The 24,965-nt window shown below is 40.6% G+C and overlaps 1 protein-coding gene across 19 annotated transcripts in view, besides 1 other annotated feature; it reads left to right on the top strand.

Moving 5' to 3' along the window:
• LDB2 (LIM domain binding 2) overlaps window positions 1-24,965 on the top strand; it is a 397,105-nt gene that overhangs the window by 18,069 nt on the left and 354,071 nt on the right. The gene's annotated exons all lie outside the window — the stretch shown is intronic.
• Window positions 11,574-12,133: an enhancer, noted in NCBI's record as "OCT4-NANOG hESC enhancer chr4:16870067-16870626 (GRCh37/hg19 assembly coordinates)". NCBI's record gives its function as "activates a minimal SCP1, AML or CMV promoter by ChIP-STARR-seq in naive H9 embryonic stem cells {active_cell/tissue: H9 hESC(naive)}" and the evidence as "EXISTENCE:reporter gene assay evidence [ECO:0000049][PMID:30033119]".

Genomic DNA, 24,965 nt, shown 5'->3' with positions numbered 1-24,965 from the left:
AGGCTCCGAGGTTTACACAGAGTAGGAGAGGCAACTAACTATAAGCACCATGCAGACAAGCGCTGTTCCTCTCTTTTCAGGCACAGAAGGCTATGGGACATGTCTATGCAAACTAGAAAAACGTGCTCCTTCTGAGTGAGCCTATGGCCCTTTTGTGAAAATGAAAAGCTTCCTGGTCTTCCTGGCAGACATTAGCTCCATGGGGCTTAGCAAAGTGCTCTGGATTTCAGCCGTTCCTTCTCCCCTTGGTCAGCTGCCTTTTTGCAGTGTGGAAACTGCCCAACAGGAAATGGAGGCCTGTTTTGATTTAATTTAGTCACCCAGAACCTGAATTCTAATTGATCTTCACTAAATCTTGACTGGACCCATGAAGAATTTTTAAGATGGTGCTAAATTCTCTTCTGTCATTAAGATACAGTGCATAAAGAAGAATGTTTAGGCCATGTGTCATGGAGGAGGCTGGGATCGGTTTGATAAGGGATTGTAGGATTTGGATTTGTTGGGAAAGAAGAAGGGCATCTGGTTTGGGGAAATAAAGGTCTGAGATGCCATCAAGCAAACACGTCTGGCATAGGAATAGGATGTGGTTGGCTGACTTCTGCACAGGAAAGTTTCTGCAGGTGTAAAGAGAGTTGGACACCAAGAGGAGACATCATTGTCTCTGTGTTCCGTGCTTGGGTACCATGTCCATAGAATGCAGTGTGAATGAGGCTTCATGGAGATGTTAAATTGGCTTCCTGTTTCTAGGGTAGACACCCTTACTTCTCTACTCCCTCTGTGTTAGTTAGAATTCTCCAGAAAAGCAGATATAGGGTATATATCCAGGAAGAGATTCATTGTAAGCTCTAGACTCACATTGTTATGGAAGCTGAGAAGTCCCATGATCTGCTGTTTGCAAGCTGGAGACCCAAGAAAGCTGGTGGTATAGTTTAAAGTCCTGAGGGCCAGAGAGCTGATGATATAAATTCCAGTTCAAGTCTGAAGCTCTGAAACTAGAAGCACTGAAAGTAGGAAAAGATCAATATTCCAGCTCTTAAACAGCCAGGCAGAGTTAAGCCAACTTTCCTCTGCCATTTTGTTCTATTCAAGCCTTCTATAGATTGAATGGTGCCCACCCCCACTGGGGAGGGCTGTGTGCTTTACCCAGACAACAATTCTAACAGCGAGTTCTACCCTAATCTCAGAGTAAACACCTTCACAGACATACCCAGAGATAATGCTTAACCAGGTATCTGGGCATCCTTTGGCTCAGTCAAGTTGACACATAAAATTAACCATCACATCCTCTCCTGCCAAAATGCTGCCTTCTCAGATATAATAGAGGCTGGTGTCAGAGGTCTTTGAATGTTTGTCTGAGGACTTTGGATCTGACTTTATTGCAATAGGGAATATTATATGTTCTTCAGCAGATCCATTAACATCTTATTCATTCCCTCATTTGGTACATCTATATCAAGCAGAGCCAGGTGTTTAGCATACAATACCGCATAAAAACAGACATTGGCATTTCTTGCAGGAAATTTACAATCAAGTAAGGGGGCTGTACAGCAATTAAAAACTCATACTAACTAAAGTATAGTTGTAATGGATAAAATGTGCAGTATTTATCACAATGTAATCAGTGCACTAGAGGAATCAAGCATGTTTCTGTGAAAGCGTAAAATAAATAAGGAAAGCTGACCTATATTGGTGGCAATAGTGGTTAGGGAAGGCTCCTTTGAGGAAGTGAATTTTTAGCTGAGACTTAAAGAACAAATGAGATTTAGCTAGAAAAATTGGACATGCGATGCCAAGATGGCATTTTAAAAGAATAATAGTAAGCACAAAGGCCCTGTAGCAGGAGGGAGCTGATTGTCCATAGTTCAGACAGCAAAGAAGCTGATGATGCAGGTTGGGGTCAGACCGTGTTTGACTACAGATAGGATGTTAAGGGTTTTGGCTTTTTAGGTTTTTGTTTTAATTCTAAAAGTAATGGAAAATGTACTCCTTTTGGTGGTGGTCTGAGAGAAGGTACATCATTAGAATGACATTTTGAAAACAACACTCAGGCTGCTCAGTAGAGAATGGCTTCAAAGGATTTAAAAGCAGAAGCAGAAGGACATATTAGAGAAGGATTGTATAGTTTTCTGGTAAAAGATGACAGTGAATTGTATGGGCGATGGATTAGCCGTGGAAGGTGTTGAGTATAAGTGGTCTCCAGCCAAACTCTATGGTTACTGGAATAAGAGAGTAGGAACCCTTCTCAGGCTTTATCTTTATCTATTCTTGTCAACAGTATGTACATGTGTCCCCCAGCCCCAAATAACTGTACAGTTTAATGATGTTCACTCTATACAGTTCCCAGAATCCATTGGAAATTGCTGTAACAGCATATCCTCAATGCCCATCAATTCTCCACGTCCAACTTCTCCATGGCCTCCTCTGCCTCTGCTGATCTGTGAACTTCCCAAGCCCCTTCCCCTACCTGCTTTTGATTGGCTTTAACTTTTACAATATCTTCATTACTCCAAGTTTGTTCAACATCCTTTTTATTTTTTTAAATCATAGATTGATTTAGTTTATTCTCTTTGCCATTTTTGAATCTCATTATTTCTGTTTCTCCTTGGTTATTAGTGGCTCTGTTTTCCTTCAATTGCCTCTTGTCTTTGAGAAGCTCTTGTGATTCTTTTAGGGCCATTTGCCATTTGATTGGTTTGTCTTCCTTTTCCCTATAAGCTTTAAATATGGCATTATAGTTTTATCCCCTTTCCTCTTCTTTAGGTACAACTGCAGACACTTTGCTCTTCCAAGGTTACTAAGCAGTGTCTGACACAATGTAGAAGCTCAACAAATATTGGTTAAATTTATTTCTTCTATTGATTGTTCAGGCTTTGATGACATCACTTAAAATGTTTCTTGTACACACCCTGTTTTCTACTGATATATGTATGTGTATGGCTACCTGAATCCAGGTTTCTTCTAGGAATATACAGAAAGTAATTGATTTCTCTGTGGATCTCTAACAGTGACAAGAATTTTCACCTATGCCTGTGAGAATACCTTCAAAAGTATTGGGTGCTCATCATAAACACACATCAGTTTAACAAACTCTTATGGATGCATTGACTTTCCCAGTTAGTTGCTAGATGACTTCGGATGATTTGCATAATGGGTCTCAGTTTCCATATCTGTTAAATGGCAATAATCAGAGAATTTTAAAAAATTTAAGGACACCTGGAAAGCTTGAAAGATCCCTAGAAAGCATGTGTTTATTCCACATAGTGGGAACTATGCTAGATTCCAAAGACACAAAGACAACTAAGACAACTTAGAATAAGAAGGAAAAGAGAATGATTCGTTGCAATGATCCCCTTGAAGCTCCAGTTGAAAGTCAGAGTATTGCCCTGGATTGGAAGTAGTCTCCAAACTGACATCATTTTCTTTTTCGAACCATATCTGGCCTGTCTCTCTTGCCAGTTGCATATTAAAGGTAACAGATTTGAAAATGTTTGGAATAAAAGCTCTAGTTAGGTGTGGTGGCACACACCTGCCATCCCAGCTACTGGAGAGTCTGAGACTCGATGATTGTTTCAGCCCAAGAGTTGGAGGTTGTAGTGAGCTATGATGGCACCACTGCACTCCAGTCTGTGTGACAGAGCGAAGACCTTGTCTCTAAGGAAAAAAAAAAAAAGCACTATACAAATTCCACATTGGGAAATTTTCACTGAATCAATGGTTAAAGGTTTATACAATGGATGGAGTATTTGGTTAGTGAGGAGAGATTTTTGAGGATCGATGGCAATACTTATTTCTAGAAATAGCCTTGTTTTTGCTGATTACTGTTGGTAGGGATCAGTTTAATGCTTTTTCCCCTAATGTACCTAGAGATTTGTGGTAGAATTAGCTATGCAAATTGAATCCTTAAAAAAAAAACCCTCCACAAACCTGTATGTTATATTTATAAACTTTACATTGTACTAAAGTCAGCAAATGTCACAGAATTAAAATCAGTAAATGCAAAAGTGAAGGTTTCTATAGCAACAGTAACTCACCCATATTGCACATAAAATGAAATGTACATTAGGATTTACATTTAATCGCCTATTAGTGGAGAAAAGTCCTATGTATAACAGGTGCAATATGAATACATTAGGGTGACCCTAGCAACTCTTTATCTTTTAAACTCCAGGCTCTAGCTGCCGTAACTCTTTTATATCTACCAAGTTTTGACTCCTTTAGGGAAAGTGAGGTAGGAAAATTAGAGGCAGCGTTAGAGCAGAGGTGTGTACCCCTAGATTTAAATGCAGTGGAATATTACCATTGCATAAATTATCAATCAACTCAGTAGGTGTTTCAGAGAAAGAAATAGACCCAGAATAGTAAATGTTTATGAAATTGTTGCACGTAGGGTACTTAAGAAGAATTTCTGTCTAGCATAGTCGGTTTATCCAAACCTTGAGCGCTTCTGAAACATGCTAATGCAAGATGATTTTGTGACTTTGAGTTGGTTGCGGAATGGCCCAATAGGAGGGTGGCAGGATTGGAGCCAGGGACATGGGACATGGCCCCAGCCCATCACTCTGCACATATGGCCTCCCTTGTTGAATTTCAGTTTCTTCCTATAATGCATTCCTACTTCCTATAATGCATTCCTACTTCCTATAATGCCTGCTATCCAGGGTTCTAAGAATCAAATAGGAGTGGAAGGAGAAGGATAGAGGGTATTTTGTGGAAGCTAAAGCTCTCTATATGGACAATGATGTCGCTATTGTGAATGTGACTTTCATAAGGCAAATATCATCCCCAGCAGTTATACCATGCCTTTGGCTGGTGGTCCCTGGAGACGGCCTATCCTTGGCCGTCTGCTTACATAAAGGAATGTCTCTTCGCTCTGCAGCAGCTCTTCTGGTGGAGGGCTCTGAGTCATTGCTGAGAATAACCGTCATGCCTCCTCCAGCTCAGTCTACATCAGATAACTCTAGATAGAGACTCTTCTATTGGTCAAAACTTTCTTTTATAAAATTGGAAGAAATTTTTCTAGTGACTAGACAGATGATTCACTCTAAAATGCAGTTGATTTTTAAAAATAATTTTAAGTAAAATTGATCATAAGTTTTCTTTTTCTTTTTTCTTCTCCATGAGCTTTAATGTTCTTTAGTATTCCTTGGCTTCACTCTGAACTCTTTGATTCAGTTGGTCCGGAGTAGGCCACAGGATCTGCTTTTTATCCAGTAGCATGGTAATCTTTAAAAATTTATTTTTCAATTGATAAATTAATTTTGTATAGCTTAAGACATCAAATGAGGTTATCTGATTACCACCCAGATCAGATTTTGCCAGCCCCAGAAACCCTACCCTGATGATAACCCCTTTCCTTGTATAGTCTTAATTGACTTTTTTGGTATTAATTCTCTTATGTTTCCCCAGACACTATGTTTCCCCAGCTGCTATTGATTCTCAGACTGGCCTGCCTTGCTGTCCAGTGAATACTTGTTGGCTGTTTTTGATTCCCTGATTTTCTGGTCTATCAGATGTTCTCTAGCTTCCTTCCTGCCTAGACCCTGATAACATACATGTCTATGGCTGTAGTGGTTTGTTCCACTGGCTTGTATTTTGGGATGTCAGGTCCCCTTTTCTTTTCAAATATAATTTTTGTTTTATTGAAAAAATTGAAAGAGCTTTTTAAAAACATAATTGGACCAATTTTTGTCAAGTGCCACTCTTGTGCATACATAAACAAGGCTATAAATGAAATACATTGGTTAGGTATTACTAAGACTTACACTCAGGGTCTAATGGTTTAGAATTGTTCTTCAACTCATGGTTGTCCACGATTTTCCACGTAGTATAACCTTTGTGCCACCAAGGATGTTGGTGAGATGGCATTCTTCAAAATAATACTTTTAGAAAACAGACATGATGCAGGTCTCTGAGCAGGCTTTGCATTAGGTAGAGCTTGCCTAATTTTGAATTTGATTTTCAGGAATGTAGCGAATCTTGTTGGATGCGCACTCTCCCTGACTCTTACCCTCAACTATTTGATTGAGAGGAGAAAGAGTGATCTATCTGTCCCTCCTTTTCTTCCAAACCATTCGCACCCATTCTGCAAATTATGATGCTTCTGCTTTGAATATTTGTACATGTACAATGACAATGATGGCTTGACAGAGAGGGTAAATCATAGTCTAATTGTAAAACATGCATTGAGACATCAGATTGATATTGGAAAAAATGTGCATCTTAGAATTAATGAACTTATAGATAAATATAGACACGGGATTTTTCTGTACTTCTTGTCTTGTAACCTTCTTTCTCACTTTAAAATATATTCTATTTATTTATTAAATATAATATAAAACTGAATCTTAAGATCTGCCTATTTTCCAGCCTATGCATTGCCATGATGATCTTATCATCTAATTTTGTTATAAATGTTTTCCACGAGTTTTTGGTTTGGAGTTTGTGTAGGGAGTTGGAGATATTTTTAAATGATGCTATCATTGTTCGTAACAGTCAAAAAGCAGAAGTAACCCCAAATGTCTGTTAAGCGATGACTGGATAAACAAAATGTGATATATCAGTACAATAGGGACCATAAAAGGATGAAATTTGGATCCATTGCTACAGCGTGGACGAGCCTCAAAAACATTATGCTAAATAGAAGAAGCCTTTCACAAAACACCACATATTGTAGATTACGTGGATGGAAACAGTAATTCCTGCAATTGACATGAGAGACCATGTTGGGATCATGAAAACCTGCTGAAACACTGAAACTGGTTGTGGTGATGATTGTTATGACTTGGGCAATTTACTAAAAATTAAAACACATGAATTTTGTGATTTACACATTATACGTCAATAGGATCATGAAAAAAAACTTTGCCACCAATGCTGTTTTCTCAAATACTAAGTTTTAAGACTAAAAATATGCAGAATAATATAAAATATAAAAACAATATTAAGAAATGCCAAAATACTCCTTGTTTTAGAAAACTCTTTAGGAATTGGAATAATTTGGTTTTTCTTTGTTGAATTTTTTAAGGAATAAAGTAGAAGAATAGAAAGCCTAAGGACAAAGAACATTTTTTTTTTTGTCATAAGATCAACTGGTGAATAGAGACCATTAACACCGTCAAGGTTAACCCCAGGCCGAATGCCAGGTTCTCTTTTCCAGGTTCTAGCTCAACCCTGTCCTGTGCTCCAGCACTTTCAGTGATAGGCAGCCCACTCCATTTTGAGGCAATCCATCTTATTGACTTAGGGTTCTAGTTAAAAGAAATGTAAAAAAATTAAAGTCAAGTTTGTCTCTTAGTCACTATCATTCACCAGCCCTTTTCTGAACTTGTACAAAATAAGTTCATTCTCTCTTCTACAGGAGAGACCTCCACTATCCAAATATGAGGAGCTTATCATCCCAAGGCTCCAGGTCTTCTCATTGCTAAATATAGCACCCTGGGCTAAATATTCCCAGGGTGCTCAGCTGTTTCTCAAATGCAGAGGAAATGCCCGATACACCATTCTCCTTCACAGCATCTTTACCACCCTGCCACTTGGCCTTTTTGAACCCCCATTAGATGGTGAGCATTTTCCTTATCTGATTGCTTTCCCCTGTCACTGGGCTGTCAATGGGACTCTTAGAATTGGACTTAGAAGCACGTGGGCTCCCCGACAATGATCTGGACAGCCTTGCTTTGAATATAGTGGATCTTTTGCTTTTCTTGCTTTGCTTGCAGAGCTCAAGGAAACATATTTTCTGATCTTGTCATCTTTTGCTAAAACATACTGAAAGTTAATTAATAGTCATGGCTGTGAAATCTTTTCTCTGGTTTGTTTCTGCCTTATACTGATTTCTAAACTATTTGCAAATATTATTTTTGATTGTAACAGTATGAAAGGGATTGAGAGTCCTGCCTACACTGACTTATAATAAAAGATGCCATGAATTTACCTGAGAATCTGAGAAGGTCTATTGCTCTCATTCTTTAAAAACTTTTTTTTTGTTGTTAAGTATCTGCTTTATGCCAGTCATCCATTCTCAGCACAAGAGAAAAAGAAGCAGTGATAACAACAAAGATTCTTTTAACCAGAATAGAACTTACAATTCAGTTGAAGGAACCATACAATAAACAAGTAAACAAATATATATATGCCATAGCATTAAGTAGTATTTGAAAAGTTTTATTCAATTCTGAGGAGCAGTAACTCATGTTATGGATGAATGATTGAAGTTCAGGTATTCATTTGTGGTGAAGAAAAATAAAGATAAAAAATAAAAAATAAAGATAAAAGAATAAAAATAATATGAAGAAAAATACAGTCACAGGATAGAGACATATGATGGACACTACTTTAGATAACGTGGTCAAAGAAGATGTCCCTGAGTAGAGACCCATGCAAAATACAGAAATGAGAGCTCTATGGATAAATGTTTAACAATTGGGTCTTTAAAAAAAAAGAGCGTGTATATACATACATACGCTTATTATAAGTTTTACTAATAGAAAGATATATAGTTTACAGTTTATGGATAATAATAAAATATACAATATTTTTTATTATAAATTCTGTATAGCCAATTAATTCTCCCAAAATGCTTTCATTGATTTCTGCTGAACTCTTATAGTCATAGCCCAAATGTAATTTTCATTGATGAATAAGAGTAGTTCTGATGTGGGCTGGGCGCGGTAGCTCACACCTGTAATCCCAGCACTTTGGGAGGCCGAGGTGGGCGGATCATCTGCGGTCAGGAATTCAAGACCAGCCTAGCCAACATGGCAAAACCCCTTCTCTACTAAAAAATACAAAAATTAGCTGGGCGTGGTGGTGGGCGCCTGTGATCCCAGGTACTTGGGAGGCTGAGGCAGGGGAAATTGCTTGAACCTGGGAGGCGGAGGTTGCAGTGAGCTGAGATCGTGCCACTGCACTCCAGCCTGGGTGACAGAGCGAGAGTCTGTCTCAAAAAAAAAAAAAAAAGAAAGAGTGGTTTTGACATGAATGTTGGCTGATATTTTCTTTTACATTAATGATTAAGAAGACAATGAAACAACAGAGATGAATATTTGAACTTCATTCATTCATCAGTGACATGAGTCACTGCTCTCCTGAATTGGATAATACTTCTCGAATACTGGAAGAATATTTCCTCAAATTTTCTGCCACTCATTATGTTACAGCTTCAGGCATGCAAACTTTCATACTTAATTCATATTATTAACATTTTTGCATCACTTTCTTAAATCTACACAGTCAACAAAATAAAAACTCAAGCCCTGCATTTTAGCATTTGCCAATTTCTGTAGTAAATACTCCCACTATGGCTCATTTGAAGCTACATATATTCAAAGTGTGGGGTTGAGAAAAGACACACACCATTATACAGTATTTCCATCATGCAACAGACATAAATAACCCCAAGGGCACCAATAATAGTAACATGTAGCAAAATAATTAGGAATTTTGGACTAGTTATTACCTTTGCTTTCAGTATGATTTGTTTAATTGGAAGTTAGAGGCTGTCTCACAAAATTTCTGAAAATTTAGCAATAGGAGAGCTGCAACACACTGCTGAGTGCAACATATGGGTCTCACTCATTTGCCAGAGGAAGCAGTGTATGCAGGTCTAAATCAGAGATAGGCTTTTTGGGTTTAAAGAACGCAAGGAGGCAGGGCATGGTGGCTCATGCCTGTAATCCTAGCACTTTGGGAGGCCGAGGTGGGCGGATCACCTGAGGTCAGGAGTTCGAGACCAGCCTGGCCAACATTGTGAAACCCTGTCTCTACTAAAAACTACAAAAACTAGCCAGGTGTGGTGGCGGACACCTGTAATCCCAGCTACTTGGGAGGCTGAGGCAGGAGAATCGCTTGAACTGGGAGGTGGAGGTTGTAGTGAGCAGAGATTGCACCGCTGCACTCCAGCCTGGGTGACAAGAGCGAGACTCCATCTAAAATAAATAAATAAATAAATAAAGAGAATGCAAGGAAGTGAGTGTTGTGGGTATGGAGTGGACACAAGAAGGGAGGGAGGCTGCAGAGATGGTGAGGCCAGATCAGAGAGGGCTTTTATACCTGGTAAAGAGGGATGTTAAGGGGAGTGGGGGTGACCGCAGGTCCCCATATGCTCTGGGTAAGGCCACACATACACACCCCTTCAGCAGGATTGCAGAGCCCCTAATTAGCTTTGTGATTTTTAAGAGCCACTTCCCCTTCTGGCCACCACTTTTCTTATCTGTAAGATACGGAAGTTGGACTAATATGACATTTAAACTTCCTTCCAATTCTAACCATCTCTGGATCTGGATAAGCCTTCGCTCCTTTTTGTGTAATGAATGCAGCGAGTCCTGTTGCCTACTGAATTCGTCCATGTGGCAGGCTCCTGGGCTTTCTCACTATTCCCTCCTATTGATATGGTTATGGTTAGTCTTCCAAACACTGAATCCACGGCATCTTCTGCATCTCCTTCCTTCACCTCTGAATGTCGTGGATCGCCTCTGCAGCTGCCTTGTACAAAACACAATGGCTGCTTCTTCCAATAAAGCATTTGGGGTTGCTGCTGGCTGGCATCCCACCATGGCCACCCACTCACATAGGCTCATGTCACCATCACGCTGAAAGAACAAGTCCCCAAAGACTGAGATACATGGCTAAGAAAATACTGCAAGTAGGAAAACAGGCTCAAGGAACATCCTGAGTGTTGTTTTTGGATCACCACATTGACTTTCTAGATCACTTCCAAATTTGCAACCTAAAACAGCAGGATGTTCCTCAAATACTTAAGATGGAAGGCGACCAAAAATATCACTGGGTAAAGTGAACATCTACGTATTGGTATGACCAGCTCCAAACTCAAAAAATGAAGCACGTGAACTGTACTTTTGTGACGTAAGAAGCTCGTAACTCAATAATAGTCATAATTTTAGAAACACCCATGGTGCAGTGGTTTTGATTTCAGGCCCAAGTACTGAACTCTCTGCGCTTGGATTTCAGGTCGACCATGCCTCAGCCAAGTCATCTAACTGAAGATGAGTCTGTTGCCTCATTTGTAAATGCACGTTGATAGTAGCAGTAACTGCCTTGTATTGGTGTTACTGGAATTAGATGAATTAATACTGTTCCATAGTGTTCATATAACATAGTTGTTTTAGAAGCACCTTCACACCCATGATTTAATTTTCTCTTCCAAACAACCCTCATTTCTGAAGAAAGTTGTCTGATATTATCACCTCCATGTCTGACGGGTCAGCATAGCACCTTTCCCAAAACTTCGAGCATTTCTGAGTTTTTTTTTTTTTTATGACTTTTGCATTTGTGTACTAGAATTCTGCCCTTAGAACTGGCCTGCCTGAGCTTAATTTCTAATTTAAAACATTTTACTACTGTGTGTCTTTGGGCAGTTACTTAACTTCTCTAGGCCCCAGCTTCCTCACCTGATGAATGGGGATAATTAAAATAATAATAATAACAATAATGATGCCCACCTCATAGCATTGTTGAGAATTAACTGAAGGAAACTTTATGAACCACTGAGGCACTTAGCATGGTGTCTGGCAAATGGTAGCACCATTCATCATCATCAACATCATCTACCAGCATCATCATCACCAATAATGTCATCATCTTCATCATAATCTTCATTAAAATCATTCTCATCACCGGCATCATCATCACCAGTAACGTCTTCCTCTTCATTATCATCTTCATCAACATCATCATCATCACCAAAATCATTGTCAACAGCATCATCATCGTTATCACCAACATCATTACCAACACCATGACCACCATTATCGTCATCATCATCCTATGAGAAGAAACAGATCCTAAAAACAGTTAAAAGACTGGGCTAACGAAAGGCACTGAGATAAAGGTCTTTGGCAATTGGTGTCCTATGTGAATAACAAGTGCTTCTGTGTTATACTCTGCATGGTTGCAATCACTTCAGTCTTCATCCTTTGAAAGGAGAAGTGTGGGTGAAAGAGGAGGAGAGACAAATCCATTCACACAATCTGCAACTTTTCCCATCTGCCTGAGTGAATATTCGTTTTGCTTTGCCTTAAGATTCTGCCACCAGACTTTGATTCCAGTGCTGAGTGACTGTCTGGGGTGGCAGAAGGGGTTGGGTGGGGGTGATGACTCTGACCTCTCTGATATTAAGAGTTTATACAGAGAATAGTATTTGCTGTGCATTTTAATCAGCAAAATACACCCCCGTCAGCAGATGTTAATTTGCATTCTGACAATGCTGCCCCTGGAACCTGAGAATGTGATGTTGGAACAATAAAAAAGTTTTTGAGTAATAATACCTTTGTCCTATCAGGAGTCCCCAAATTTAGAGGTCTGGTCCCTGTTCTTGCCTGAGATATTAAAGCACAGAAACTATGGGTAAGCCTGTTATCATTACTCAGGCTCAACTGACGCAAAAGTAAAATAAAATGGGTGATACCTACTCTCTTGAAGATAAAACTAGAATAGATAATCTATTAAGGTCCACTTAAATCACTAAGATAAACGAGTCTAATGTGATTAAAAGAAAGGTGTGGAAAATGCATATGTAACTACTGTAGGGCTTTATAATGACAATCTTTCTGGGCTTTGGTAATTTGAGAGGTCTGGACTTTATCAGGGATAGCAAATGGATTTCATTTTATGTGACAGCTCCAACAGATGCTAGTGGATTGTTTTTGAAGTGGTCAGGTTAGGTTAGGGATAGAATGTTGTCATGGATTGTTGATATCTTCTATGTGCATAGGAGGATATTCATATCCACTTGGATATGAATGCCCGACATTTTTCACCCTTGGACTTCATTGTCTTGAAGTGTCTTGGAGTGCAGCTATTTGATTATAGATCACTTCTTCACCATTGCTCCCAACTACCACCTTGAAATCTTGGTGCTATTATCATCTTTTGCCGATGAATTACTGGTTCTTATTTCTACATTTTAAAGAGCCCTCTTTACCATCTCAAGTTAATGATTCTTTAAGTAGCTATATCTCCTGGAATCCTTCTTTACCTAGAAAACACTACAAACCTGGGCACTGCTATCCTGTACCTTAGTGGTTCTCTAGTTGTTCCTGTTTTCTATTGGCATGAAAGAACATTTATAATGTTCTATAACCGGTATGGGCTATTTCTTAAGAGTTGATTGCAGTTCCCTTTTCTTGTCTCTGTGACAGATTCCTTTGTATTTCTAGTGCCCTGAGCAGGGCCTTTAATTAATACTCTGGGGGTAATTGACCTACCCATCTTTAGTGTTTACTTTAAATTTTACCTGAGTCTTACACTTACTGTATTGTATTAGATTGTGTATTAATCTGTGATGAGTATTAATCTGTGATCTGGGCAGGGCTCCGCAGGTTAGCTCATCTCTTCTTCCCTCAGTGTTACCTGCGGGTGTTTCCAAGGCTGAGCATTGGAATGCAATGAGGGCTTGCTCATTCCCATGTCTGGCAGTTGATGTTGGCTCCTGACTGTGCCTTGGACTTCCCCACAGCATGGAGGCTGGGTTCCAAGGGCTAAGCCTCTGAGAGACGCTGTGCCAGACAGCAGTCATATTATCTTTCAGCACCTAGTCCCTGAAGGTATCACTTCTTTCAGGTTCTGTTTGGCAAGGTTGTCACAAAAGTCCAGCCAGGTTTAGGGGGAAGAAACAGAGCCTCCTATACCCATTGATATGGGAATATCTACACCACCTTGTAAGAAAAGCGTGTGGGATATTATGTGTATTAATGTGGCCATGTTTGGAAAATACAATTTGCCATACTCTGCAAACAACACAGGCCCATTTTTGGTTCAAGATTTTAAGATCTGATTAATACAGGGAATGAGATAATAGTCTTGGTGCTGTTACCAAGACAGGACGTTTTTGTATGTTTTATCAGTTAACATGTCAGTGGAATATGTCAGATTTTTTTCCCTATGTCCAGCTCCCTTTATGACTCCTTTCTTTGACTGAATATGGAACATAATGCATTGGGAAAAGCACCGGCCTGGAGTCCAACTTCTTTTCACCCTGTCTTTTCATTGACTAACCTAGAGTATAATGTTGGGCCACTCACTTCCCTTTGAGGCTCAATTTCTTCATCTGGCAATTGAGGGTATTAGACCACACATTCTCTTTTCTTTCCAGATTGTTACAAAATTCTTTGATTTATTTATTTGATTTGGTTGGCTTATAAATTATGTATTTATTTTCTTAAATGCATTCTTAAAATTAATAAAGTAACATAAAGTAGCATTTTATATTTTGAAAAGTAAAAACTATTACTTATTTTTCCATTATTTAAATTCGATATTCCTCTACTTCTTCCCAGTCCTTTCCAATGTAGTTTATAAGTGAGGTGTGCTACTTTGTAACTCACATCTTTATTAACTTAGTATCATGTGTATTTTCCATATTGATGCCTTTTTGTGTACTGATTGTTTTTAAATGGCACTTCGCGGAAAGAAAATCTGCACAATCACATTCCTATTCTCCAGGTCCCAGCTCTTATCACAAAGTCCTCTGTAGATATCCTGTTAGGCAGGAACAACAATTATTAGACTTCCATGCGGAGATAAGGCCTTTGAAGAAAAATAAAATGGGACAAGGGGTTAGAGAGTGCCTGAATGGGGGTAGCTGATTTAGAGAGGAAGTTTCTCCAGGGGAACACTGGAGCAGGGGCGTGCAGGAAGCTGAGGCAGGAACCCTGTGAAGGTTTGGGGAAGAATATTCTAGATGGAGAAAGTGGCAAGCACAAAGGTGGGAATGTGTTTGGAGTGTCCATGGGGCAGCAAGGCCAGTGTGGCTGGAAAGGTGAATGAGAGATTCTATTCCTGAGCTCTCTCAGATGAATGCCCCTTCTCTTTGTTTCTCCAAAGTCAAATTGGATTATCCCCAGAGTGACTGTAGACAGCCACGTGCAAAGAGCTGAACCCTAGAGTCGGTTGTCAACTGCTCTCTGCTGGTGTGAAGCTGATTTAGCTTACAGAGAAAGAAGAGAGTTGGAGATGCTTTTTTCTCCACAGAAAGGGACATGGACACATTTACCAGACGGAAAATGGCCCTTCTCTTGGAGGCTGGGGCATCCTCATGATCACAGGAGCTGGTGTGAGGAGGTGCCCTTAGTGCCATCTCCAGCAGGGCTTGTGGAGCTGAGACTGCTGCCAGCGCAGCCCGAGCCCCTGTGCATCAAGCTGGTCGCAGGGAACGTTCCCATGCTTATTTTTCCTTCCTGTGAAGAATGCAGAGGCTTCCTGCAATAGGGCTGAGGGCAGTGATTTCTGAATACTGGTCACTGGAGCCCAGGGAGGTGTGAAGATGACCATGTAAACTCTAGGTATGGGCTCTTTGTTTCTTTCTTTTTTTGAGATAGAGCCTAGCTCTGTCACCCAGGGTAGAGTGCAGTGGCGCTGTCTCTGCTTACTGCAACCTCCACCCCCAAGCTTCAAGTGATTCTCTTGCCTCAGCCTCCCTAGGAGCTGGGACTACAGGCTCACACCACCAAGCCCAGTTAATTTTTTGTATTTTTAGACGAGACGGGGTTTCACCATGTTGGCCAGGTGGGTAGGTCTCTTAACTCCTGACCTCAAGTGATCTGCCCACTTCGGCCTCCCGAAGTGCTGGGATTATAGGTGTGAGCCACACCGCGCCTGGCCGGTATATGGTATGGACTATTTTTGTTCTTTTCTTTTTAGATGGATTTTTCTCTCTTTTGCCCAGGCTGGAGTGAAGTGGCATGATCTCTGCTCACTGCAACCTCTGCCCCCTGGGTTCAAGTGATTCTCCTGCCTCAGCCTCCCAAGTAGCTGGGATTACAGGCGCCCGCCACCACGCCCAGCTAATTTTTGTATTTTTAGTAGAGACAGGGTTTCACCATATTGGCCAGGCTGGTCTCGAACTCCTGACCTCAGGTGATCCATCCACCTCGGCCTCCCAAAGTGCTAAGATTACAGGGGTGAGCTACTGCGCCCAACCGGTATGGGCTATTTCTTAAGAGTTGGTTGCAGTTCCCTTTTCTTGTCTCTGTGACAGATTCCTTTGTATTTCTAGTGGCCTGAGAAGGGCCTTTAATTAATACTCTGGGGGTAATTGACCTACCCATCTTTAGTGTTTACTTTACATTTTACCCGAGTCTTACACTTACTGTATTGTATTAGTTTGGCACCAAGGCATGCAGAGATCTATGGTGTCATCTTTCTGTGCGAAGAAAGTCCAAGAGACCTATTCTATTTTAAGGTGTTTTTATTACCATATCTGAAAGCAGGGTTGGATTTTGATGTGATGAATCACTCTTTGATTTTTCCCTGTGTTTGTTTCCTAGTTTTGCCCTTAAAACATTTACCCTGGATCTTTAGAATGAAGATCTAATAAAATTGTAGAATAGAAAAGAGTAATGTATATTTGCCAGGTTAGACTAGCAACTGAAAAAAAATCTGTTGAATCTCAGTGCCTTAATAAAATAAAGGGTTTTTGCTGCAGGTGTGGCGGTGGTGGTTTTTCTCTCTCTCCCTCTCTCTCATGTGAATGACAGTAGAGTACAGGTAGGTGGGAGTAGGATGAGATTCTGCATCACTGAATCATTCAGGGACCTCCTCATCAGCAGCTGGGCTTCCTTTGAAGCCTCTTCATCCAACCAGGCAACAAGCAAGAAGAGAATGTGCCAGGCGCGGTGGCTCACGCCTGTAATCCCAGCACTTCGGGAAGCCGAGGCGGGCGGATCACGAGGTTAGGAGATTGAGACCATCCTGGCTAACACGGAAAAACCCCGTCTCTACTAAAAATACAAAAAATTAGCCGGGCGTGGTGGCGGGTGCCTGTAATCGCAGCTACTCGGAAGGCTGAGGCAGGAGAATGGCGTGAACCCGGGAGGCAGAGCTTGCAGTGAGCCGAGATCGCGCCACTGCGCTCTAGCCTGGGTAACAGAGTGAGACTCCATCTCAAAAAAAAAAAAAAAAAAAAAAGAGAATGTGAGTCTGGTGGAGGAGGTCTTAGAGTCAGGCCTGGAAGTGTTGCACATCCGACCCACCTCTGTTGTATAAAACTCAGTCACCTGGCTCCAGCTCCTTGCAGAGGGGTTGGGAAATGTAGCAGGGTGTAACTGTCAAGTGGGAGAAAACAGATATCAGCTCTTACAAATAGTGTTTCTCAAAATGGTTTGCTCCCCACTTGCACCACAATCCCTTGGTGCTGGAGGTGATAAGTAAAGAAATACAAATTCCCTGGCTCAAACCATCACCTAATACAAATACCTGAATGTGGGGCCCAGGAATCTGCACTTAAATAAGCTGGTGTTTATGATTATTCACTAGCTAAGAGAGGAGAAGGGGGAGGTGATATTGCAGAAAACATGGTAAACTCTCCTCTCTTTCTGCTTTCTCTATCTTTGGCACCTTTTCAAAGAGGAATTAAATTAATAAGTTGTTGATTTGTAACTCTTGCCCTTTAAACATGCGAGCACTCAGCAGGCTGGATGTTGGAATCATTAGTCAATACATCAATACTCTTAAGGACTCGTTCACTTAACTAATAAAGCAAAGCCCAGGTTGTTTTTTTCCTCTGACCTTGGCTGGCTGGAGCCCGTGCCCTCTGTGACTCCAACGATGCGGGCTGCCCAGGAAGCACTGGTGATGGATGGCGCCCTTACTCAGCTGACTCTGACTCGCTGGACGCTCTTTCCTTTCCTCGTCCTCTTCCTTTTCCTGATTGCCAATCTCTGAGGGGCTTGGCATCTTTATAACAGTTGCACAAAGAAGTTCAAATTTGCTGGACTTCGGGGGCGGAGGACTGTGGCTTTCTTCCCATCTCTCTTATCGTTTGGTTTAATAATTCCAATTTCCTTATATTCCCGTGGGAAACTGGACACCTTCTAAAAACTACTGATGGTTGCAAACATTGTGGTCACAGATAGAGCTATTTAGAGAGAATTCACCAAGGGCCAGAGCCAGAGGGCTCCTTTTTTTTTTTTTTTTTTTTTTTTTTTTTTTGAGATGGAATTTCACTCTTGTTGCCCAGGCTGGAGTGCAATGGCATGATCTCGGCTCACTGCAACCTCCACTTCCGGGGTTCAAGCAATTCTCCTGTCTCAGCCTCCCAAGTAGCTAGGATTACAGGTATCCACTATCACGCCTAGCTAATATTGTATTTTTAGTAGAGACAGGGTTTCTCCATGTTGGTCAGGCTGGTCTTGAACTCCCGACCACAGGTGATCCACCTGCCTTGGCCTCCCAAAGTGCTGGGATTACAGGTGTAAGCCAGCACGCCCGGCCAGGGCTCTTTGATTCATGTAAGATTAGAACGGCTTCCATCCTTACACTGGTATCAAACTTGGGCTTCTCCTTCCAAATATTTAGGAGAAAAATAAAAAAAAAAAATTGAAAAAAATGATGTATTACTCAGGATTCAAAAGAAAGAGACTTAAAGGATTTTAGTTCTATTTCTGTATACTAAGCATGTGAAGATATAGCCCAGAGATTGTGCCCATTCTTGTAAAATAATCTCCTTGGAACAGGAAGATAAAATAACTTTTGGATGAGAATTCACTGTGTGGCAGCCTCGATGTCCTTTATTTCTCACAACCTTGTATGGGAGGAATCATTGCACCCATCTTCCTGAGGAAGAAACTGAGGTCTGAGGGGGTTGGGTAACTTGACTGAGGTCAAGGGCTGGGGCATCTGAGCAAAGAGTCAATTTAGTTCCACTAATAGCTCTTGAGCACCTAGGGAGTATCCCCGCAGGTGTATAGGTTCGGGAGGATGAATCTGCCCAGTTTCTATTTGAGAAGACAGGAATGGCATTGCAGGCAGGGGGAACAGCATGTGCAAGGGAGGACTGGCAAGGCGTAGTTTGTCTGCGGCTGTCTGTTGCTACCATATGGCTAGGGCAGCAGGACCTAGCTGACTCGTGGCTGGAGGCCACAAAAAGCCATATTTGAGATTCTGCAGCCCATGAGGGCAAGCCTTGAGAGTTTGAAAGCACGGACTGGCGTGATAATCCCTGTGATTAGAAGGAGGCCTGGGACTGGCGAGAAGGTTAGATGGAATGGAGTCAGCTGTGGGGAAGGGAGAAAGTCTAAGCCAGGCTTTGGTCTTCAGGGAAGCTGAAGAATTGTTACTTCTGCTGTGTTCTTTGAGCAACTATAGCAGTATAGTGATGGTCCCGTAGGGAACACTTGTCAAAGTCTGGAGACATTTTTGGCTGTCACAACTTGGGGTGGGGGACACTATTGGCATCTAATAGGTAGAAGACAGAGATACTGCCAAGCAGCAGACAATTCATGGGACAGTCCCCTACAGCATGAACCATCCAGCACCAAGGTCAATGTTGCCAAGGTGGGGAAACCCTGACCTGCAGTGATTCAGGGCTATAACTGGCTGGTTCTGACTGAAAATCACATTCTTTTTCATCTCTTTTGATCAGTTTGGTAAGCCTGTGCTTGACTTTCCTCATCTGTACAGCATATATAAGAAGACAAGAATCCAGTGGTAGGATAAGCATTTTTATGAACGTTCCAATGATCATATTTGATATATATGTTCTTCATAGACTCAGAGTCCAGCAGAGAAGTCCTCCATACCCTAATGAAGCCTGCTGCTTTTGGGGAGGTCTTTTGAGTTATCATGCCTAGTATATTTAAGCTACAGAATCCTTGTGTCAAGACGAATGCTGCTTTTTTGGCAAATTATTTTAGATTGATTTTTTTTTTATAGCTGTAGGAATGCCCCTGGGGTATTCAGTTTTTTCACTAAGCAGATTTGGACCCATGTGGTAAAGAATTACAGTGTAGCCAAGGTCACAGTATTGCTGGATATAAAATACATTCACCAGCCATGACTTAGTCCACAAATGTGGATCACTGCCAATATTGCTTCAGCATTATAGAGTCTCTCATTGAATAGTCTGGTCATGAAGCAAGTGTTCATTGAATGAGATCATCTTAGAATGCTTTGTCAAGAAATCCTAGAGCATTTGGCTGTGAGAAACCACCTATTTTGTTCAGTCCACCTCTATTCTGACAGATGAACAAACCTGGACCAGAGATATTGAATGACTTACGTGAGGTCACAGAGATGATGGGTGGTAGCCTTAGGTGGCACTCATTTATAAAAGTATAGGCAGATGGCTGGTGTCATTTTCTTCAAGTTTGATCAGAGGTGAATCAGCGAGATAGAGACCTGTGGGTTTAACACAGAGATAACCTGAGAAGATTGCACATCTGCTCTGATACAGGACCACTTTGTGGGTGTGTGTGTATGTGTGTGTGTCTGTGTGACAGTGGTGCTCCTTTTACCTGAAAGATCAAAGTTTCTGAATTATTAGGCTGAAAATGCATTTATGGTGCATTTCTTAAAGGTCTCATTAGTATTTAAATGGTACAGGAAAGTGCAGATAAATTGCGCATTATGAAAAGAGCCAGTGGGACTGGCAGGTAACATTATTTCCCTGGCTACCCAAATCCATCCGTCTTCTTCCATGTTTGTCTCAGCAGAAATCCATAGTTAGGAAGATACTCTTTTGGCCAGGTTAGGGCTGCACTTTGAGTGCATTTTCCCATGTTTGAAATAAAGCCAGGGCCATGTTGCTGGGTAGTTTTGGGTCTTTGAATTCTATCTCCATGACTGGCATGGTTTTCTGAGAGGTTTTCTCATCTGTCCAACAGGAGTAATAATAGTACTTGTCTCTAAATTGGAGAAGATTAACGACTTGAAAAAATTCACATTAAGCGTTTTGCATAGTGCCTGACAAATTTTAAACGTTCAATATATGTCACTTTTTATAATTATCTGTATCACTGCTGTTATTTCATTACGAAATGTGTCTGGCACATAGCAGATTGTCAATGAACATTGCTTCTTTTTCTTTTCAGTAACCCCTCTGGTACTGTGATTGTGTGGCCCTTGAAAAGTCATCTTCCTCTTTGGGCATCCTATTTACAATAAAACAAAGATGGCCCCTCCCAGCTTTACAAGTTCTCTGTACTGAGTCTCTGAGTCAATGATTCTGGTCACACCACAGTTAAAGAATCCGAAAGCATAGTTGTAGGGAAAAGTAATGCACACCTAATGAGGATGCAAAGAGCAGGTCTCAAGATGCTGATTTGGTTGTGAAGGTTTGCTCCTATAATCCAATAGATGTAATTAGGAGGGGAAAACAGAAATGGGGTATTGTAGCAGCTTCAGTATTGCCATACTGTTATGGCTTTCAAAATGCGGTTTAATAGCTAGTCAAATGGCTCTTATTAAGGTGCACGTGATTGAAACACCAGGGCATACCACCAGCCTTGATGGTGATGGGGGCCTAGCTCTGTATATTCACTACTTACAGAATTCAGCTGAACACAAGTTAAAGCAGCAAAATGATTCAAGGACAAGTCATTTTTCTTTTTCTTTTTTTGGAACGTAGTCAGAGATCTGGAGTAGGACTCCCAGGGATCAGAGTAAGCATTCATGACTTATTGGTAGTGTGATTATACCACGTTTCTTAGCTCAGTTTCCTTATCTGTAAAATGGGAATATTAACTGTTGTGGAGTGGTGGTAGTGCTTTAACAAAATGAAGCATAGTATAGTGCCTGGCACTTAGTAATCTCAAGAAATGTCATTTTGTTGTCATTTGTTTTTTAAAAATGTAGCAGTTGAGCAAAGTTCTATCTGAAGACTCTTTATTTTAAAAAAGTCTTAATTTGAAGCATGGAGAGTTGGCTGATCATGTGTCAATTAGCAAAATATTTTAATGGATATTAATTTTTTAAAAGATATCGTAAAGAACTTGGGCAACGATACGGAAAGAATTGTGTATTGACGCAGTTTGTATAGTTCAATAAATATTGTATCAGGTCCAGGATGGAAAAAGGATGTTGCCGAAATAATTGTGATGTGATAGTTTAAAAAAATAAATCCAACAATAGGCCAGTGTACTGGCCAGCAGGAAGCTCCAACAATACCCCCACCTTTTTCCTGTACCTTACCCGGAGTTCCTTCAGGCGACACAGATAACCGATGGGTGATAAAGTCGAGGACCGGGTCTGGTGCCAGCTGAAAATAGAAGAATTAGTGTCAAACTGTTATCTGATCAGAAAATGGACTTAGCAAACACCCTTCCCAAGCAGCGTTTAAGAAAAGTTTGTTGTGGGGGAAAAGTCTTCTTTTCACCTGAACGGTCCCTCTTAGTCACAGTGACTCACTGAGACCCAGTTCTCTGGAAGCCCAACCACTGGCTCGTCTAGTTGCAGGGGGAATTCTTGCATCATGCATGAAGCCCTCCTTGGAGCAATAATGTAAACAGGAATTCCTTGCATTTATAAAGCGCTCTATGCTTTCACCATGCCTGCCCATTCTTTATTCTACTTAGCTCTAGGAGCAACTCCTTGCTTTGAGTATTATTGGCACAGCTGTGAACCTGGGAAGTGACTCATCCTTTCTATGCCTCAGTTTCCTCATCTGTAAAGTGGGGAATAATGATCTTATCTATCTCACTGGGTTGTTACTAGAATTGTGTGAGATAACGCAGGCAAAGAATTTAGCAATATAGCAGGCATTACTTGCTGTATTTTAATAATCAAATAATCAGTAATTATTATTAATATCAATCTTGTGAGGGACAGTATTATTGCCATTTTAGAAGTGAGGAAACTGAGGCTCATTCAGTCAATATATTTATTGAACAACCAAGTCCCAGGCATTATTTTAGGTTGGGCTGAGGGGAGGGAGGGAGGGACGGTAAACAAATAAACATGAACACAAGATGTACTGCGTTCTGGTATGTGATATGAAGAGCCTAACACTGAGTAAGGGAAAAGAGAGTAAAGAAGTTGGGTCGGGAGGTTTGCTTGTTTAGACAGGGTAGTCAGAGAAAGCCTCACTGCTGAGGGTACCTTTGAGCAGAGACCTTCATAAAGTGAGAGAATGAGGCTTGCCAACATTTCGAGGAAGAGCATCCAGGCAAAGGGAAGAGCCACTGCCAAGGCCATGCAGCAGGAGGGTCTCAGCGTGTCATGGGAAATGGCAAAGACCTCTTTGTGCTCGGAGCAGAGTGAGCCAGGGCAGTCCGGGGACAGGAGGTTGGATTAAAGGAAGCCAGGCTTTGAAGGCTGTGGTGAACACTTGTGATTTTGTCCAGTGGGAAGCCACAGGAGGCTTCTGAGTTGAGCTTTTGATCTGAATTAAACTTTGTGTAATGCTCACCCTGGATGCTATGAAGATCATGTATGGTAGGTAGGCAAGAATGGAAGCAGGGCTATCCGTCTGGAGACTTTTTCAGTTCAGACTAGCAAGGATGGTGGCTTGGATGTGAGTAGTAGAAGTGGAGGTGGTAGAGATGGCCACAGACAGTGAGGAATAAAAAGGGCACGTAAGATTCCATTCATTCCCAATCCTTGAGGAACTATTGGTCTACCAAGGGACAGAGACATGTCAAAGAAACAAAGGGCTTCCCTCGACCTGCCCCTGCTGCCACCTGACAACATATTATCATTGAGGACATAAACTCCATGGGTATTCCATAAGCTCCAGAGAGAATGTTCTATGAGAATTAGTAACGGGGTCATGATGGGCTTGCATGGTCAACAAAAGCTCTAAGAAGAAAGTGGGACTTCAAGTCTACTTCAGAAAATTTGAATAGCAAGAAATAAAGGCAGGAAACTACTTAATTTTGAGGAATCTGTATAAGGAAAGACACAAACCAGATCAAATATAATATTTAATGTCTCTGAACATTTAGGTTACTTCTATAATTTTGCTGTACAAAATAATGCTACAATGACATGCATTAGCTGTATAACTTTGGACAAGTGACTTAACCACGCTGGACTCAATTTCTTCCTCTATAAAATAAAGAAACCAATAGTATTTATCTCATAGGGCTGTTGTGAGGATTAAATTGGTAGTAATGATTAGAACGGTGCCCAAAGTCTATTAAACATTATATAGGTGTGAGCATTTCTTTAGAGTAAGTACTTAAGGGTAGAATTACAGAGTTACAGAACATACACATTTTAAATATAAATAAAGTTTTATTGTAACACAGCTATGCCCATCCATTTACATACCCTCTATGGATGCTATTGTGTTGCAGTGGCAGAGTTGAGTAGTTAAAACTTTGACCTGCAAAATCAAAGATATTGATATTTACCGCGTGGTTTTTGTTGAAAAAGTTGGCTAACCTCTGTAATGGACACAGCTTGATTGTACTTAAAAGTGACTTTACCGATTTACATTCCCTTTAGGATTCAGAGTATGAGAATATCCACTTCTGTCTACTCTTGCTAACACTTGATATTATTAATTTTGAAAATTTTAGTCAAGCTGATGAATATAAAATGTTATCTAAATTTAACTTCCATTTCCCTGACCAGGAATATCAAAGATTTTGATCTCAAGCTCATCTGACACTCTTTAAAAATTTTGAGCACTCCAAAGTTTTGTTTCGGCATTGTTTCAAAGGTTTGCAAGTCTCTTTAATATTTGTTTAATAAAGGGTGGATGGATTTTCATATTAGTTTCTGCATTCACTCCGCTGATTTGTTTCGTTTGAAGAAAATTGGCCTCACATAGATTTGGGATTGGAAAAGAAAGGAATACTCTGGAAATCTCTTGAGATAAATATAAATATTCTTTGTTGCTACATCCAAACTCTGTAAGTGGTATTTTCTTAAGTGTTAGCTTTAGTGTGGAATCTGAAACCATAGCAGTGGACTTTTCATGCTCTGTAATATTAAAATCCATTAGTCCATCTTGCACTTTGAATGGATATTTTACCCACTCATGAATTTATAATAACATGCATTGGTTATTTGGAAAATATTAGTTCACTTAGTTTTGCGTATCTTCCAAATTTGACACATTTCATTATGCAACAACAATAAAAAAATCACACTCATTAATATCATCATCAGTCTCATCAGAAAAGGCTTTAAGTGTTAAGAAGCTGTCACACTCACATAGGCAGATATAACTTTCCTAACCTTTATTTTTTTCAAGAAAGCTCAAAGTTTGTCATTGACAATAAATACTG

Source organism: Homo sapiens, chromosome 4, assembly GCF_000001405.40.
Source record: "Homo sapiens chromosome 4, GRCh38.p14 Primary Assembly".
Lineage (NCBI taxonomy): Eukaryota > Metazoa > Chordata > Mammalia > Primates > Hominidae > Homo > Homo sapiens.
This window is presented reverse-complemented; position numbering and strand designations above follow the sequence as displayed.